This window comes from Homo sapiens, chromosome 3, assembly GCF_000001405.40.
Source record: "Homo sapiens chromosome 3, GRCh38.p14 Primary Assembly".
Taxonomy (NCBI): domain Eukaryota; kingdom Metazoa; phylum Chordata; class Mammalia; order Primates; family Hominidae; genus Homo; species Homo sapiens.
The window spans coordinates 128,456,232-128,472,920 of record NC_000003.12 but is presented as its reverse complement, the minus strand read 5'-3'; the positions used below and the strand labels follow the sequence as shown (position 1 = coordinate 128,472,920).

The 16,689-nt window shown below is 56.6% G+C and overlaps 1 protein-coding gene and 1 long non-coding RNA gene across 2 annotated transcripts, besides 2 other annotated features; one reads left to right on the top strand and one right to left on the bottom strand.

Moving 5' to 3' along the window:
* Positions 1–603: 603 nt before the first annotated feature.
* Positions 604–9,327, bottom strand: DNAJB8-AS1 (DNAJB8 antisense RNA 1). The gene is made up of 3 exons (NR_037890.1): positions 9,194–9,327; positions 8,808–9,021; positions 604–2,053 (listed from the first exon to the last, which is right to left on the bottom strand). It is a non-coding gene; the product is annotated as a DNAJB8 antisense RNA 1 (long non-coding RNA).
* DNAJB8 (DnaJ heat shock protein family (Hsp40) member B8) lies at positions 6,031–10,484 on the top strand. The gene is made up of 3 exons (NM_153330.6): positions 6,031–6,307; positions 7,485–7,645; positions 8,811–10,484. Exon 3 carries the CDS (start codon positions 9,676–9,678, stop codon positions 10,372–10,374), a length of 699 nt encoding a protein of 232 aa, NP_699161.1. The 5' UTR covers positions 6,031–6,307; positions 7,485–7,645; positions 8,811–9,675; the 3' UTR covers positions 10,375–10,484.
* Positions 13,112–13,631: an enhancer, noted in NCBI's record as "H3K4me1 hESC enhancer chr3:128178133-128178652 (GRCh37/hg19 assembly coordinates)". NCBI's record gives its function as "activates a minimal SCP1, AML or CMV promoter by ChIP-STARR-seq in primed H9 embryonic stem cells {active_cell/tissue: H9 hESC(primed)}" and the evidence as "EXISTENCE:reporter gene assay evidence [ECO:0000049][PMID:30033119]".
* Positions 13,632–14,152: an enhancer, noted in NCBI's record as "H3K4me1 hESC enhancer chr3:128177612-128178132 (GRCh37/hg19 assembly coordinates)". NCBI's record gives its function as "activates a minimal SCP1, AML or CMV promoter by ChIP-STARR-seq in primed H9 embryonic stem cells {active_cell/tissue: H9 hESC(primed)}" and the evidence as "EXISTENCE:reporter gene assay evidence [ECO:0000049][PMID:30033119]".

Genomic DNA, 16,689 nt, shown 5'->3' with positions numbered 1-16,689 from the left:
CAGTTATCTAAAAATATAGCTAATAATATAAGCAACACCATGGTAGCCTTGGCATTGATTTTCTATGCTGTATCACAAACTGCCACACACCTAGCCCCTTGAAACCACACGTGTTTAGTATCTCACGGTTTCCATGGGCCAGGATCCCAGGCATAGCTCAGCCACGGCCTCTGCCCAGGCCCTCACTAGGCTGCAGTCCACCTGCTGACCTGGGCTGGCTTCTCATCAGAGGCTCAACTAGGAAAGGATCTGCATCTCAGCACCCCCCAGGTTACTGGCAGAGCTCACCTCCCTGCAGCTGCAGGAGTCTCGGCAGCTCACTCCTGCACAGTGCGCAGCTGACGGAGGCGTCAAGAGAGCTGGTGAAGCGCGGCCCCGATAGTATTCCCCTGCTTTGCGTATGCTATTGGCTGCATGCAGGTCACGTTCCTGCTCACTCTCCAGGGCACAAGCTCCAGGAGTTAGGAGAGTGGAGGCAGCGTCAAGTCCCTCTGATACCCTCCCCAGCCCAGCTTAAGGAGGGAAACACTACAGATATCATGGAACTCTCTTGACCTTGTTGTCCCCTTTGCCCGCCTCCAGAAGTAGCCAGGACTTCATTTTCCCATGCATGTTGTTATACTTTTACTCTATATGTATAAATCCTTAACGCATTATTCTGCATGTGTGTACGTTTTCAATAAATGGTGTCACAATGATGCTTTCAATGACTGGTTTGTGCTGCTCACTGCCATGCTGGGGCTGCTCCTCCATGCTCACGTATGGAGTCGGTTTCTTCGTTCTCACTGCAGTGTCATAGTCCCCTGTGCAGCTGTAACACAAGGTATTTGCTCATTCTCCTTAAGATGGACATTTCGGTCACTCCTGTCTGTTGCTACCATAAACAGTGCAGCAATGAGTGTTCTTGTCCCTATTCCCACGTGTGAGGGTTTCCCTCGGGGCATAAGCCTTAGAAGGATTTTCCAAATTGGCTGTTCCAATGTATGTTCCCACCAGCAGGGTGTGGGAATTTCAGTTGCTCCATTTCCTTGCCAACACTTGGCAGTGTCAAACTGACATTTTTACCAATTTTGTGGGTATAAAACTGAATCTCATTGCTGCTGAGGGATCTTTCTAGAGTATGCTATAGATCCCATTCTCCCCTTGTTTAAATCTTCTCAAGGTCTCCCCCTCCCAGGACACAATCCATGCTCTGTGGTCTGGGGTCTGAGCCCTGCCTTGTGCAGCCCCTGCCCCTCTCTGGGCTCTATTCCCACCATCCCTTCGGTCCCAGGTGTAGTCAACTACAGATGCCTGCTCTCTTTCCACTGAGCCACTGAGCCTGGTGCATGCTGTTCCCTTTGCATGGAACCACTCCCATGTTACAAGGCTCCTGCTTTATTAAGAAATAAATCACCAAACAGGTCACCTGTGTGTTTTAAATATTCACATTGAAGACATTAATGCCTTTGGTGCATCAAAAAGACATTGCATTATAATTGCGCTTGTCAAATGATAATTTCAGGGCTTAGAACAGAGTTCTCAACCTCGGTGCTGTTGACATTTGGGGCTGGATGATTCTTTGTGGTGGAGGCTGTCCTGTGCACTAGACAGGGATGTTCAGCAGCAGCCCTGCCTGGCCTCCACCCAGGAGATGCCAGTAGCAACTCCTCCAGTCATTGCCAAATGTCCCCTGGGGAGGGAGGACTGTCCCTGTTGAGAACCACTGATTTAGGAGATGAACTCCTCATGCCCCCAGGACAGGGTGGTCTGCAATGGGTACATGATCATAGCCATGTGATGAACACCTTCTTCCCACCTTGAAATGTTCCATGACTGAATGAACTACCTCCCTGGGGAAGGATGTCCAGTGTCGACATCCAAGACCCTTCATGTGTGTGAGGCCGACCCTGCTGGAACCTCCCTCTCCAAGCCCTGCCAAGGCGTCACCTCTTCTGACCAGCCTTCCCAGACGCCCCAGACAGTGTCACCTCTCCTTCCAGCGAGTGTTGCAGCTGCATTCGCACATTGGTGTGTGTCTGCTCCTTCCCCAGAGCCTGGGGTTGGGAGTTCCCTGCGTGGGAGGACAGGGGTGATGCTGCTGAATTCAACTGTTTCCAGCCCCCACTCAGACCAGTGCAGGGAAGAATTGTGAATCTGAATTGTTGGCCGCATAGGAGCCGCCCAGGCCCTTTGCTAGCAGACCTAGTAAGACCCAGATGTGCCCTGGACTCCAGGGAGCAGGCCTGGCTTGGGTGATGGGAGGGCCCAGGCTGAGAGAGGCACGAGGCAGCCAGACCTCCCGGTGAGGGACGGCAGGGCCCATGCTTTTGGAAACACAGCAGGGCTACAGGCCTCATGGAGGGCCTGTGTGCACATGTGTGACCATGTGTACAGGCGTGCTCACATGCATGGGGGCGTGGGTGCCTGAGCATACCTGTGGAAGTGTGGGGCACCCAATCTGACCTCCCTAAGAGCCCCAGCTTCCTGTAAGCCCCCGTCTTGCTTTGTTTTCTCTCACGGCATCTATGACACCTGCCATCATGTTAAATGTTCATGCATTATCAGTTTCTCCTATCTCCCCAACTGCATGTCAGCATCATAAGGGCAAGGCTTTGTCTGGTGCCTTCACTGACATATGGACCCCAGACCCAGGGGAGTGCCTGGTACACGGCACGTGTATGGACAACTGCTCAGGAAACGTGTGTGGGTGGCTGGGTGTGTGGGTGGCTGGGTGGCTGGGTGTGTGGGTGGCTGGGTGTGCAAATGGCTGGGTGTGTGGGTGGCTGGGTGGCTGGGTGTGCATGTGGCTGGGTGGGGGGGTGGCTGGGTGTGTGAATGGCTGGGTGTGTGGGTGGCTGGGTGGCTGGGTGTATGGGTGGCTGGGTGGCTGGGTGGCTGGGTGTATGGGTGGCTGGGTGGCTGGGTGGGTGGGTGGCTGGGTGGCTGGGTGTATGAGTGGCTGGGTGGCTGGCTGTGTGGGTGGCTGGGTGGGTGAGTGGCTGGCTGGGTGGGTGGGTGGCTGGGTGTGTGGGTGGCTGGGTGGGTGGGTGGCTAGGCATGTGGGTGGCTGGGTGGGTGAGTGGCTGGGTATGTGAGTGGCTGGGTGTGTGGGTAGCTGGGTATGTGTGTGGCTAGGTGGGTGGATTGATGGGTGTGTGTATGGGGAGATGGGTGGCTATCTGCTGGTACAGATGTGTGCATACGCATGCACGCCTTTACTCTGGAAGATACTTCAGGCTTTTTTGTTCTATACTGTTTCCAGAAAGACCCCGGAAATGCCACACCCCGGAAACTGCAGAGCCCCGTGGGTGAATGGAGAGGCTCTGGGGGTTGGATCCTCCTGGAGGCTTCGAGTAACTGAGGAACTCAGGGTAACAGCCCTGCCTAGGGTTGCTGTATGCCAGGGGGGCTGGGTGCTGGGACCCTGGAGGAGGGGAGCTGCCCTAACTGGCTGAAGCAACTTGGAACTCAGAGGGCCCCGCAAATGATGCCTTCACTCAGGCAGTAAACCCCTACTTGGGGCTAGATCTGAGCCTCCAGAGACCACATGAGCCACCACCAGGAAGGATGTACCTGGGTTGGGATGGCAGGGAAGGGATCTGGGCAACCCAGTGGGCACCTGTCATCACTGGCTTGGAGGACTGGGCAGGAAGGCTGCCTGAAGAGGTCTGAGAGCAGAGCTGAGATCGCCCTGGCACCACTGGGGAGGACGTGAGCTCACTGGCCCTTCTACGGTTGCGTAGCCCACCGCCTTCCCACCCCATGGGCCACCAATCTGCATGTAAGCCTGCCATGGGCCTGTCTGCCTACCATGGCTTCCACTGGCTCACCAGGCAGGCTGCCCTTTCATCTGTCTCTGCCCACCCATTATCGACACTGCCAGGATGCCAGCACACGCACACACAGCTCCTTCTCCATTCTGAGCTCCTCACAGTAACCCTGTGAGAGGGGACCATCATTACTTCCCTTTTACAGATGAGATGAGGACACTGGGGCACAGCCAGGTTATTGACTTCCCCAAGGACACATGGCTGGGGAGTGGCAGTGCTGGGGTTGGAACCCAGGCTGTGTCACCTGACAGGCTGAGCTCTTCCCCACTGTGGGATCTGCCCCTTGGCCCGTCTGTCTGTCCATCCGCCCATCCACTCTGTGACTGCCCACCGTTCAGCCCCTTCATTCGCCTGCCACTCTGTCCATCCAGCCGCCCGTCCATCCATCCATCGCTGTCGCCCATCCATCCTGGAGCTAATGCAGTTAGAGGACCAGGGGCCCTGAGGGGAGAGAAGGCCCCAAACTGCCCATCTGGCCGGGCCAGGGTGGCCGGGGGTGGGGTGGGCTGCCCAGGCCAGGCAGGCCTGCAGGGGGCTGGAGGGAATTAGCTGAGTGACTGCCAGGATCATCTAATTAGGAACTCTAGTGATAAGCAGATAGGATCGGGGGTGATTAGAATCCTTTTAAAAAGCCACTCCATTAATTACAGAGACAGAGAGGGGCCTCTGGCTGCTCCGAATACCAATTGGCTGCTTAATCGGCTCCATCAGCTCGCCCGGGGGAGACCTTCCTGGTACTGCTGTGTGACCTTCGGTGTGCCCTGCCCTCTCTGGGCCTCGCTTGGTCGCTGAAGGTCCTTCTCTCCCTGGCCATGGCTCGGGGTTGGCTTTAGGGTGGGCCTGAGATGAGGGACATGGGACATCTGAGGCCAGGAAGCCTAGGCTGGCTCCCCAGAGAGGGCAAATCCCCAAAAGCACCCACTGGTGAATGAGGACAGAGAGGCTTGAAGAGGGGAGGTGGCCTGACAGAATTGACGGTGGAGCGTGTGGGGCCTAAGTGTGCGCTCATGCCTGTGTGTCCCTGTCCCTCCAGCAGGCCCTATGGAGGCCTCAGAGCCCCTGATGCTCCCCACTGGCTCCCCAAAAACTGGCGTGGAAGGAGACTAGCCTGAACCCTTTGCAGAAGGGAAACTCCTCTGCACACTGCCCGGCTCCACGGTCCACAGCTCCCTTCATGGGGAGCTCCCCACAGGGGCCTCCATCTCAGGATGCCCTTGATGGTGAGGTGTGGGACCTGCTCCCAGGTGACACACCTGTTCCCGTAAGTCCTACCGAGTGGTCTGTTCTGTGTGCCCTAAGACAGCCCTGAATGGGCGGCAGTGAGGGGGTCTCCAGCCCTGTCTCCATCCTGGCTGACTCCCACAGACCCATCCCAGGAACAAGGGTTGGAGCAGGGCAGTGGCTGGAAGAAATTTCCCCTGGGAGTACAACGCAGACCAGAGCCAGGGTCTCCAACAAGGCAGGGAGGGCCAGGACGGGGAGGCGGCCACAGGATTCTTGGATGCCTCATCATACTAGGTCCTTTGTCTCTTAACATTGTTTTCACCACCCCTCCTCCACTGTCCTGATTCCATCGTCATGGAAACTTCAGGCTTCACCTTTACAATGTCAGGCCACCAACACCCTCAGCAGTGTCACCATCACCATCAACACCCCAGCGTCCCATCCCCATCTCCTCTACCACTGCCACCAGCCCCACTATCACTATCATCTCTGTCACCGTCACCACGGTGCTCTCCACCCGTGTCAGCATTGTGTCACCACCACATCACTGTCACCACACTTCCTCCACCTCCATCTCCACCCACCATCCCATCTGTGACATCACCTTATCAGCTCTGCCACCAGTATCAACCACTCACACCGCCTTTGCCATCACCACCGTCATTGCCCCCTCTACTACCACCACCATCACCACCACCGGGTCTGCCTCAGCCAGACCCACCACTGCCTCTAATTAGACTGCCACCATCATCACTGCCACCACCACTGCCCCTCCAATGCCTTCCTGATGTCACCATCTGCTTTCTCTCTGCTATCCTCACACCCAACTCCATCACAACCACCACCTTCATCTGAGCCGCCATCACCCTCACAGTACACAGCCCTCAAATGTGTACCAAGGAGGAGGACATTTACTACACGCTGCACCCTGAACAGTCTGGGACCAGCGGTCAGGGAACAAGGAATCGAGATGCTCACCTGCAGCTCCCAGGTGAGCGGCTCTCTAGAGCTTGCCTGGGAGCTGCTGAGGAGCTCACGGTATTCCAGGAAGCTCCCCATCCATGCCTCAGCCTGTGGCTCAGAAGCAGGGTCTTCGCAGAAGATTGCCCCGAGCTGTTGCAAAGCTCACCATTGTCACCTGCCTGCAACGGCCTCTCTTTTCCACTCTCCAAATCCCTTGTATTGGCAGGCTCTAGTCTGGAATTATACCGGTGATGGGATTCTGGAAAATCCCTCAGATTTCTCCAGGATGCAAGGAGACCATGGAAGAGGTTGGTGTAATGCCAAGTTAGCAACAGAAAATACAGAGCCCCACACCTCAGTGCCATCACCATCGCCATCGGCACTCACACCAGCATGTCCACCACTGTGTCCTTCTCACCCCTCGGCACCCCCCTCTACCATTGCCTCTTCCACAACCACCCTCACCACCATCCTCCATTAATAGCACAATTCCTGCCTCCTATCCCATCACCACCACGGGTGTCCCCGGCACCAGCAGCACCAACACTGCTCCCAGCAGAGCCATCGTTACCAGCCCCGCTGTCAGTCCCATCTTGAGCATCTGGCATATGTTGGAGAACTGCTCACTCCCTCTTCCCCATGGGAATCTCAGGCCTCTCTTCCTATTGCCCTGAGATTTGCAGAACCTTCCTGAAGGAAACATTCTTTGCCCCATGGATACTGGCCTTGACCATGGGATGCAGCAAGACTGCCACACATCATGGCCCAACAGAAGCTTTCAGAGGCAGCCCAAGTTCCTGCTGTCTCTGAGTGGCACTGTCATGAGAGAGGGGTGTGCAGGTCAGAGCTGATTCTCCAGCCTGGGACCCACAGTGAGAAGCTATGGGAGGTGGGGCCCTGGCAGCTGCCTGTAGGCACCAGTGAGTGAAGTGGGGGGAACTAGATGTTTGTCGTGAGCCACTGAGAGGTGGAAGCTGTCACTGTGGTATAGCCGAACAAGATACAACCTCTGCTACCTCCACCACCTTCACCTTCATCATCACCATTACTGTCACCACTGCCAACCACACCAATGGCTCACTAGGAGCCATTCCCATCACCTCCTCATCATACCTGCACCATCACTGCCAACCACAACAAAGGCTCGCTGTTACCATCTCCTCTGGCATGACCATCACCACCACCACTACCATCATCAATTACTCTCAAGCACAAGCCTTGCTGCTGTCACCACCAGCATCACCATCATCATGATCAACTCCACCATCACCCATAATTACTCTCCCCCTCACACCCACCATGACCATTACCTCCACATCAACACTGCTCCCATGGTCACCTCTACTATATAATGACACCTTATCCATCTCCATGGACACCCACCGTGCCTCTCCCCACCAGCAACACAGTCAACAGCAGTGCCTCTCCCACTGCCACCGCCATCATGGAGAACTGTGCAGGGCAAGCATCTTTCTCCCGCCCCAGGAACAAGCCTGCAAGGGACAGCAGGTGCTAACTGCTAACCGAGACATAGTGACAAAAATCCAGCCACAGAGATAAAGAATCAGGTTCATCTGTAGCTACATCCAGTGGAGAAGTTCTGCTCTTCAACTCCTCTGCTAAGCCACATGTGTCAGCAGGTGTAGGTGGGTGGATGCCCAGCATGGGGGTGCGAGTCGTGCTTTTGATAAGCTGCATGGAGGGACAGCGATGGTCACTGGAGGCTGGGTTTACAAAGTGTCTCTACAGTCTGTCTCCATTCCTCCTGGCATTTGGGATTGGTTAGAACACACACTGTCCCCTGCTAGGAGCCTGAAACCTAGCACCCATGAGCACTGAAAGAAAAGAGAGAGAGGGAGGATAATAGAAAGGGATGAAGACTAGAAAAAGGAAGAGGAGGAAGAAGGGAGGAATGAAGGAAGGAAGGAGGAAGGAAAGAAGCCAGGAGTGAAGAAGGGAGGGAAGGGAGAAGGGGGAAGGGGAGGGAGGAAGGAAAGAAAGAAGGAAGGAAGGAGAAAGGGAGGAAGGAAGGAAGGAAGGAAGGAGGAAATGAAGGAAGGAGGGGGAAGGGAGGGAGGGAGGAGGGAAGGAAGGCAGGGAACGGAAGGGAAGGGAAGGGAAAGAAGGAGGGAAGGAGGGAGGGAGGAAGGGAGGAAGGAAAGAAGGCAGGCAGGAAGGCTATCTTTAGTTAAGACTTGGTGACCCAAACATCTAGGCTCTTTATTGGTGTGGTTAGTAGGTGGTTTAGCATGGTTTTGATCTTAATTGGAGTGGGGTGAGGTGAAGGTAGGAACAGATATTAATCAGTATTGTGAATTGCTGTTTCTATATATGATCCAACACCAGAACAAGAATTAAAGGAATATAAATGCCTAAGAATATTTGGTTACCTCACTCACCTGATTCGTTTTCTAGGGCTGTTACAAATTATTACAAACTGGGTAGCTCAATACAAAAGAAATCTCTTCCCCCAGTTCTGGAGGCCAGAGGTCTGAAATCGAGGTGTTAGTGGGGCCGCACTCCCTCTGGAGGCTGCAGGGAGAACCCTCCTGGCCCCCAGCTTCCAGCTGCGTCAGTGTCCATCTCCTATACGGACATGTGTCACTGGATTTAGGGCCCACTCAGATAATCCAGGATGATCTCATCTCGACATCCTTAATTTAATTACATCCGAAAAGATCCTTTTTCCAAATAAGCTCACATTCAGAGGTTCCAAGGATTAGGATAGGAACATATCTTTTTGGGGGCCACCATTCAACCCACTACAGTCAGTAATCAATATTTATCATCAATTCCTATTTTTCTTACCAGAATTGAGTGGAACACTTCTTTGGATTTGCTGTCCGCTGCAGCCTTGGCCCTGGTTTCACATCCCCTCCCTCACTGACTCGCTGTGTGACCTTGAGCACTGTGTGTCTCTGAGCCTGGTTCATCCAAGAGTTTACCGACGGCCCTCGTGTGCCAGCCACTGTCCTAGACAGGGACAGACTTTCCCGCCTTTGTGGAGCTTACCCCGGAAGACCTGGCCAGATAATGGGCACAAAAAAAGCAGGCTCTTGTCCCCACCCCAGCCTGCCTGAACCCCACCTTGGCCTCCTCTTGCCTCAGCTGCTGCCCAGCCATCGGCCGAGTGGACATACCCAGGACGCCCTTGCCCGCCTCCCCCACCACGGCCACAGACCTTTGTCACTCACCAAGGCTGGAATCCCGTGGCTGATCCTGCCTCTGCCCTTTGGCTCCCGGGACTCAGCCCACACCACCTGGGTCACAGAGCATCCCATTCCCACACACCGTTGTGGCCACCTCACCAGCAGGGGCAGGCCCATATGCCCAGGTTTGCCTGGTGAGGAGCTGGGGGCGGGGGTATGCCCCGCCCCGGGAGCTGACGTCATAAAAGGAGCTCTGGAGGGCAGCCCACTCTGGCCTGGCCCCACAGCGGCAGTGTCCCTCCCCTCCCCCCACTCCTCTCAGTGGGGGCCCCTCCAGTCCCTGAGAATTGGTACTACGAAAAGGTGAACTCCTGGGCAGAATCTTGCCTAGAGCTTGCGGAGTCCAGCCAGGCCCCTGCTGAAGGGCCCCAGACCACCGGCCACTTCTCCCCCGTCCATCTGACCAGCTGGGCCCCTGCGCCCACCTGGCCTCCACGTTCCCTCTCCTCTCACCCACACCCCTGGCCATGGCTAACTACTACGAAGTGCTGGGCGTGCAGGCCAGCGCTTCCCCGGAGGACATCAAGAAAGCCTACCGCAAGCTGGCCCTTCGTTGGCACCCCGACAAGAACCCTGACAATAAGGAGGAGGCGGAGAAGAAGTTCAAGCTGGTGTCTGAGGCCTATGAGGTTCTGTCTGACTCCAAGAAACGCTCCCTGTATGACCGTGCTGGCTGTGACAGCTGGCGGGCTGGTGGCGGGGCCAGCACGCCCTACCACAGCCCCTTCGACACCGGCTACACCTTCCGTAACCCTGAGGACATCTTCCGGGAGTTTTTTGGTGGCCTGGACCCTTTCTCCTTTGAGTTCTGGGACAGCCCATTCAATAGTGACCGTGGTGGCCGGGGCCATGGCCTGAGGGGGGCCTTCTCGGCAGGCTTTGGAGAATTTCCGGCCTTCATGGAGGCCTTCTCATCCTTCAACATGCTGGGCTGCAGCGGGGGCAGCCACACCACCTTCTCATCCACCTCCTTCGGGGGCTCCAGTTCTGGCAGCTCGGGGTTCAAGTCGGTGATGTCGTCCACCGAGATGATCAATGGCCACAAGGTCACCACCAAGCGCATCGTGGAGAACGGGCAGGAGCGCGTGGAGGTGGAGGAAGACGGGCAGCTCAAGTCGGTGACTGTGAACGGCAAGGAGCAGCTCAAATGGATGGACAGCAAGTAGGCGCTGGCCACCCGGCCCTGCCTTCCCACCACCACCACCGTGCATGGGGCAGCAAACACGTGGGGCCGCAGACATAGCCTGATGGTTAATAAATGTGCCAAGTGAGTTCATGGCATAGCTTTCTCAGCTTTGTGGGGACATGGGGCCAGCTCCAGCCTAGTGAACATGAAGGAGGGAGTGGGTGCTGCCTCCAGGGCCTGGGCTGTTTCTATCAGGAAGCCAGGGGTGGTTCTGCAGGGGGACTGTCATCTCTCCTGTGCCCACCATCTGGGTTGACAAATAACGTGGCTGCCCTGTCCTGATTACCTCAAACCCAACCCTGACCCCTATCCACTCTCTACTGCTGGCCCCTGCCATCTGCACAGGCCTTGCTGCTCCCGTTCTCAGCCTTCCCCTTTCTACCCACCCGCATAAGTTCTTCCCGGGACAGCTGTGCCAAACCCACGTTCAGTCACGTTGCCTGGTAGCTTTAAATCAGGCTCTCCCTGCGCTAAGCATAAGGACTGCACATCTCATCCTCACCACAAGGGCCTGGTGGCCTGGGCCCACCCACCTGCCCCGGCCTTCTGTCTCTGGTCTCTGACCTCCCACCGTGCTGGCCTCCCCAGTTGTTGCACTGCACCACACACCCTGCAGCCCCAGGGCCTTTGTACAGGCCACGCTCCCTGGCGAGTGCCCACTCATCTTCAGGCCTGGCATCCATGGGTGGGGGCAGGATCCCAGGGAGCAGGTCTCAGCCACGTGGAGCCAGAGGTTTCCCCAAGTCAGAGCCAGGCTGACCCCCTCGGAGGGTGAGTGAGCTCCCCGTCACGGGAGGGTGCCGGTGCTAAAAAGGAAAGGGGACTCTGTCCTGATGACCTGAGTCCTGCTGAGTGCCAATCTTTAAAAAGTATGTATTTTAAAAGTAACGTTTTACTTTGAGGCTGGGTGCGGTGGCTCACGCCTGTAATCCCAGCACTTTGGGAGGCTGAGACGGGCGGATCATGAGGTCAGGAGTTCAAGACCAGCCTGGCCAACGTGGTGAAACAACCATCTGTACTAAAAATAAAAAATATATACAAAAATTAGCCGGGCGTGGTGGTGAGTGCCTGTAACCACAGCTACTCCAGAGGCTGAGACAGGAGAATTTCTTAAACCCAGGGGGTGGAGGTTGCAGTGAGCTGAGATCATGCCACTTGCACTCCAGTCTGGGCAACAGAGCAAGACTCCTCCTCAAAAAAAGTAACATTTTACTGTGAAACAATCTCAAACTCACAGATGTGTCAGGCACTATTAATTGGATGCAATTCAAGAAATATTGATTGAGCACCTGTTAGACACTGGGGATACAGCAAGGAACAAAACAGGCAGACCCCTACCCTCATGTGGTTAGTATTCTAGTTGAGGGAGACGCATGAAAAACAGGTGTGCAGAACATGGTCCCCACTAGCAATGAACGCCGGAGAGGAAATGGGCAGGTGAGCTGACTGAGAAGGGGGCTCAGGGAGTGGGCAGGGGAGTGTTGAGTCACTCAACACTCAACAGAGTGGCCTTGCCGCGCGCGGTGGCTCATGCCTGTAATCCCAGCACTTTGGGAGGCCAAGGTGGGTGGATCACAAGGTCAAGACCATCCTGGCTAACACGGTGAAACCCCGTCTCTACTAAAAATACAAAAAAATTAGCTGGGCGTGGTGGCGGGCGCCTGTAGCAGTCCCAGCTACTCGGGAGGCTGAGGCCGGAGAATGGCTTGAACCTGGGAGGCGGAGCTTGTAGTGAGCCTAGATCGCGCCACTGCACTCCAGCCTGGGCGACAGAGCGACACTCTGTCTCAAAACAAAACAAAACAAAAAAACGACAAAAACGAAAAACAAAACAAAACAAAAAAACAAACCAACAGAGTGGCCTCCATTTCTGAGGGGGTGACGTCTATCAGGAACTGGAATGAAGGTGAGGTGCTGGACCATAAGGCCATCTGGGGAAAAAGCGTTCTGGGCAGAGGGAACAGCAAGCGCAAAAGCCTGGGGCAGGAACACGCCTGCCCCTGTTTGGAGAACAGCAAGAAGGCCAGGAAGGTGGCTATACAGGGTTCCATTTAATGCCCACAACTGTCCACAACCCTCCCAGACAGGGGTCATTGACCCCACATTATCCAAGAGGAAACTGAGGTCTGGAGAGGAGAGAGTCACACAGCTGGCAAGTGGCTATGCTAGAATATCACCCCAGGTGTTGACTCCAAAGGACCTGCCTTTAAAATGGTGGTGATGATGATGATGATGCTGGCGGTGACAGCCCAGGGAGATGCGTTTGAGTGCTTGAGTGCAGGTGGCAATTCCTTGTTCCTTGGGGCTGGAGTAGAAGCCAAAAAGGAGGTGATTCCAGGTTTGGGGGTTAAAGGATGGTCAGTGACAGGGTCTCTGGCTCCCTGGCTGGGGCAAGGTGATGTGGCATGGCCACAAAAGGCGTAGCACCAAGTCGACTAGGATCTGGTCAGATTTTGCTCATTTCTGCATCCCAACTCCCAGCCCAGCTCGTGGCATCTAGTAGGTGCCCAATAAATGATATGAAATGAAAGAAGGGAGGAGCACTGTGTCAGGGAAGAGCAGGAACCAAGCAGCATGCTCAGAGGACACTCTCTGGAGCTCAGGACAGGAGAAGACACTGGGAAGCCTTTAACCTAGCCGGGAGGGTGAGGCTTGGTTGAATAAGGGGAACACCCAGTGAAGAACTCATCCCATTTCCAGATGCAGAGCTGGTCTGAGGGGCACTCACGAGGGATGGAGAGGCTGGGAGGTGGGCCTGCTGCTTTTCTCCAAGGGAAGCCTGCTGAAGTCCTCTTCCAGGAAGACAAGGGGCATCACCCCAAGATCTTTAGGGCTTGAAAGGCTCCCTTGGCTTCAGCATGTGTCTCGGCCTAGAGGACACAGTCGGCAACTTGGCGCTGCGGCTGCATCTTGAGGCTCGGGCCAGGTTGTGGCTCCCTGGGTTCTGCCTCTGAGAGCCCCTGGGACAAGCCGGCAGCTGGAGGTCCCCTAACCACGTTACAGGCAGGGCAGGAGAGCCCTGTGACACGCAGAAGGTCAAACCCCAGGTCCCAGTCCTTCCCTGGGACTAACTTCATCAAAGCCCCCACTACAGCATTAACCACCTGACCTCTGTCCCCGCCGACTTGCTAATTTCACCAATTACTGGCCAGCTGTGGCTGCGTCAAGTGGGTCTGCTTAGCACAGGCAGCTGCTGAGCAAATCCAATTACAGCCCAGCAGCCCAGGCGGCCACAGTCCTAGTGCTGGGTGCACAGCAGAAACCTGGGTGCTTGCACAGCACCGGTCCCCAAACACCCCAGGACTCCCGGCTCTCTGCTTCCTTCCTGTTGCCCAGCCTCACACCTGGAGCTGGCACCAGCTCTCTCCAACCAGACCCGACATGGCATCCCCTGCTCAAATGCCTCCGGGACCCCAGCCACTGACCCACTCAGCCGAGCATGTGACACCTGGCGGAATCCCTGTGTCCACCTTTAGCCCCACTTTACAGACAGAGAAGCTGAAGCCTGGCAGCTTAAGTGACTTCCTCAGGAGCACGTCTGGGGTTAAGTCCAACCCCCACGCGGCACTCAAGGCCCAGGGCCTGCCCCACAGCACTGCTGGCTCCAGGCCCTTTCTGCTGCAGCATCACGCTGTTGCCCGTGCCTGGGCCGCCCTTCCCATCTCCTTCGGCTTGTTAAAGTCATCCCAGGAGGCCCCCACTCTGTGTCACTTTCTTGAGGAGGCCTTGCCAAGCTGCACTGCTGCGGCAGGCCATTCTGGCCTTTCCTGGAGTCTCTTTTAGGCTGGGCTGTGTGTCTGGGGGCCAAGTCTGAAGCAGCGAGGTGTCCTGGGAGCCACTTTCAGAGCCAGATGGGGCAGTGAGAGGTCCGGGAGCCACTTTCAGAGCCGGGCGGGGCAGTGAGGGGTCTGTGAGCTACTTTCAGAGCCAGGCTGAGGCTGGCCGCACCTTGTGCGGCACACTAAGTGGAGTCCGCTGAGGCTCCTCTGCTGCCCCAGGCCCCATCCCAGCGTGGATTCTCCAAGCAGAGCTCAGCAGAGGGGCAGGGGACACTGCAGAGTGTAGCTCCCCGCGAAGATGATGGCCGTGTCCCAGTTGGGTCATTGTCACCCACTGGACATCACGCCAGCCTCCTCCCTGGCCTCCTCCCTTCCCTCTTTCATCCTGTTTATATCCCAGCAGCCAGAAGGATTCTGTGAAAGCCTGAGCTTTGTGGAACACTCAGGAGTGGAAGCTGCTGTCCCCAAGGCGGCCCACAGGCCCTTCCCCAGCCTGCACAGTGACCGCCTCGGCTTCCCCATCACTCTTTGCTCCAGCCCCCGGCCTCCTCCCCTTCCTACTCACACTGGCGTGTTCCTGCATGGGGCCTCTGAGCTGGCTGTGACCTCCACCCAGAGCCCTGCTCTGGATCACACGCAGCCTTCCCTCGCCTCAAATCCAGGCGCGCCTCCCCGCTCTCTCTTGCTTTCTGTGCTCTGGCCCCACCCTGCCTCCCACCTCCAGCTTTCGAACATGCTGACCCCATTGCCTGGGACCCACAGCCCACCCAGCGAACCCCACTGATTGCTACTTCCTTGGGAGGTCTCAAACCGGGGCAGGTCTCCATCTTCTCCACCCTCCACTCCTGGGTCCATACATCCTGTGAGGGCCCTGGCTGTCTGAAGGGACCAAAATGCTGTGGGGGAGGGAGTGGACAAGATGGCATCTAAGCAAGGATTCAATGAAGCTGGAGCATTTTACAAGTTAGAGTGTCAAGGCCCTGGGAGATGCGCTGGGCTTGCAGAGCAGGTGGGGACCCAGGCCTGTGGCCTCTCAGCCACGAGGAGCTGGTTTACTCAATTGGCCTTGGCCCCTAAGGCCTGGCCAGGCAGGGGTTGCCCACTGGGGCTCAGGCTTCTGCATGGACTGGGTGGGCAGGTACAGTGTTCTCAGCCTACTGCACAACCTCCCCCACGCCTTCCACCGAGCCAAGCAAGAGATATGACTGTTCACCCCCATTTTGCAGATGCAGAAACTGAGGCTCAGAGGGCGAGAGACGTGCTCAAGGTCACAGGGCCACAGTGAGAACCAGTTCTGCACCCCTCTTCCTCTCCCTCTGCACTGGGCCTGGGGCAGGGTGGGTGGGGCGCAGGCAGCCTCCTGCCCGCCTTCCCTCCCTCTGGCCGGTCGATGTTATCGCAGCTGATTTAATTTCAAAGACGGATTGAGCTGCGGAGGGAGGGAGAGTGGTTAATCGCAGCCGCCATCTGCCCCGTTGTCATGGGGATGGGCTCCCAGCAATTGTGCGGGGCAGACCCAGATAAGGGCACCAAGTGGGCTGGAGGGGATTGTGGTGGGCGGGACGGGGAGGGCAGGAGAACTGGGAGCAACGAGACACGGTGACAGAGACAGGGAGAGACACAGAAGGAAGGGGAGACTGGGATTCCGGAGACCCAGGGACCATGGAGACACAGAGATGCCAAGGAGCCAGGGAGATAGCTCGAGGTGCCCAGGTGAGGGGTGGAGATGGAGCCCCTGGAGGGGGCTGGGGGAGGGTGTGAGACGGCTGCCTTCCCGCCTCGCTGCCTACCCGGCCCCAGGTGGCCTGCCTGTCCCCTCTCCCCCAGCAGCCTGCCACTGAGCAGGAGATTCTCCTCTTGTCTGCTGGGGAAGGGTCTTGGTAGGAAGTTCAGGCCTCCCCAGTCTGCCCACTCTGCCATGCCAGGGTCATAGACCTCACAGCCCCTCCCTGGCCGGACAGGGAACCAAGCTCAGCTCAGAGCTGGGATGTCCACTGCTTCCACAGACAACTCCCAGGGCCCTCGGTCTGGCTTTTACAACAATCACATCGTCTAGATTTGCCAATACTCACTTCATCTTGCAGATGGAGGGTGGCACTGAGCGCCTGCATTGGGCTTTGTCCACTCACTGTCATCTGCCTTCCAGGGAGCCCTACCCGGTGGGCATCTGTATGCCCATTTCACAGGACAGAGTCGTCCAATCCCTCCCAGAACAGGGGCCCGGAACAACAGCCCCCATCTAACTTATCCCAGCAAGCATTTATCATCACCTCTGTGTGCTGGGACTTGGGAAGGTGCCAGGAGACAGCAGAGAAGGAGGCGAGACGTCTGGACTCTGCTCTGCCAGCCACCACTGCTCAGAACCCTTCACCAGGCTCGGGCTGGCATGCCTCAGCCCTGCCCTTCTACCTTTGCAGATGCTGTTTCTCCCCGGAGCGACTCCCTGCCACCTGCACCAACCCCACTGCCACCCTGCCTATGCCACCCCACAGCCTGGTTCTGCCTGTGCCTTGCAC

Bases quoted from the DNA above. Each gene is read 5' to 3' on its own strand.
- DNAJB8 (NM_153330.6), top strand. From the start codon at position 9,676: ATGGCTAACTACTACGAAGTGCTGGGCGTGCAGGCCAGCGCTTCCCCG.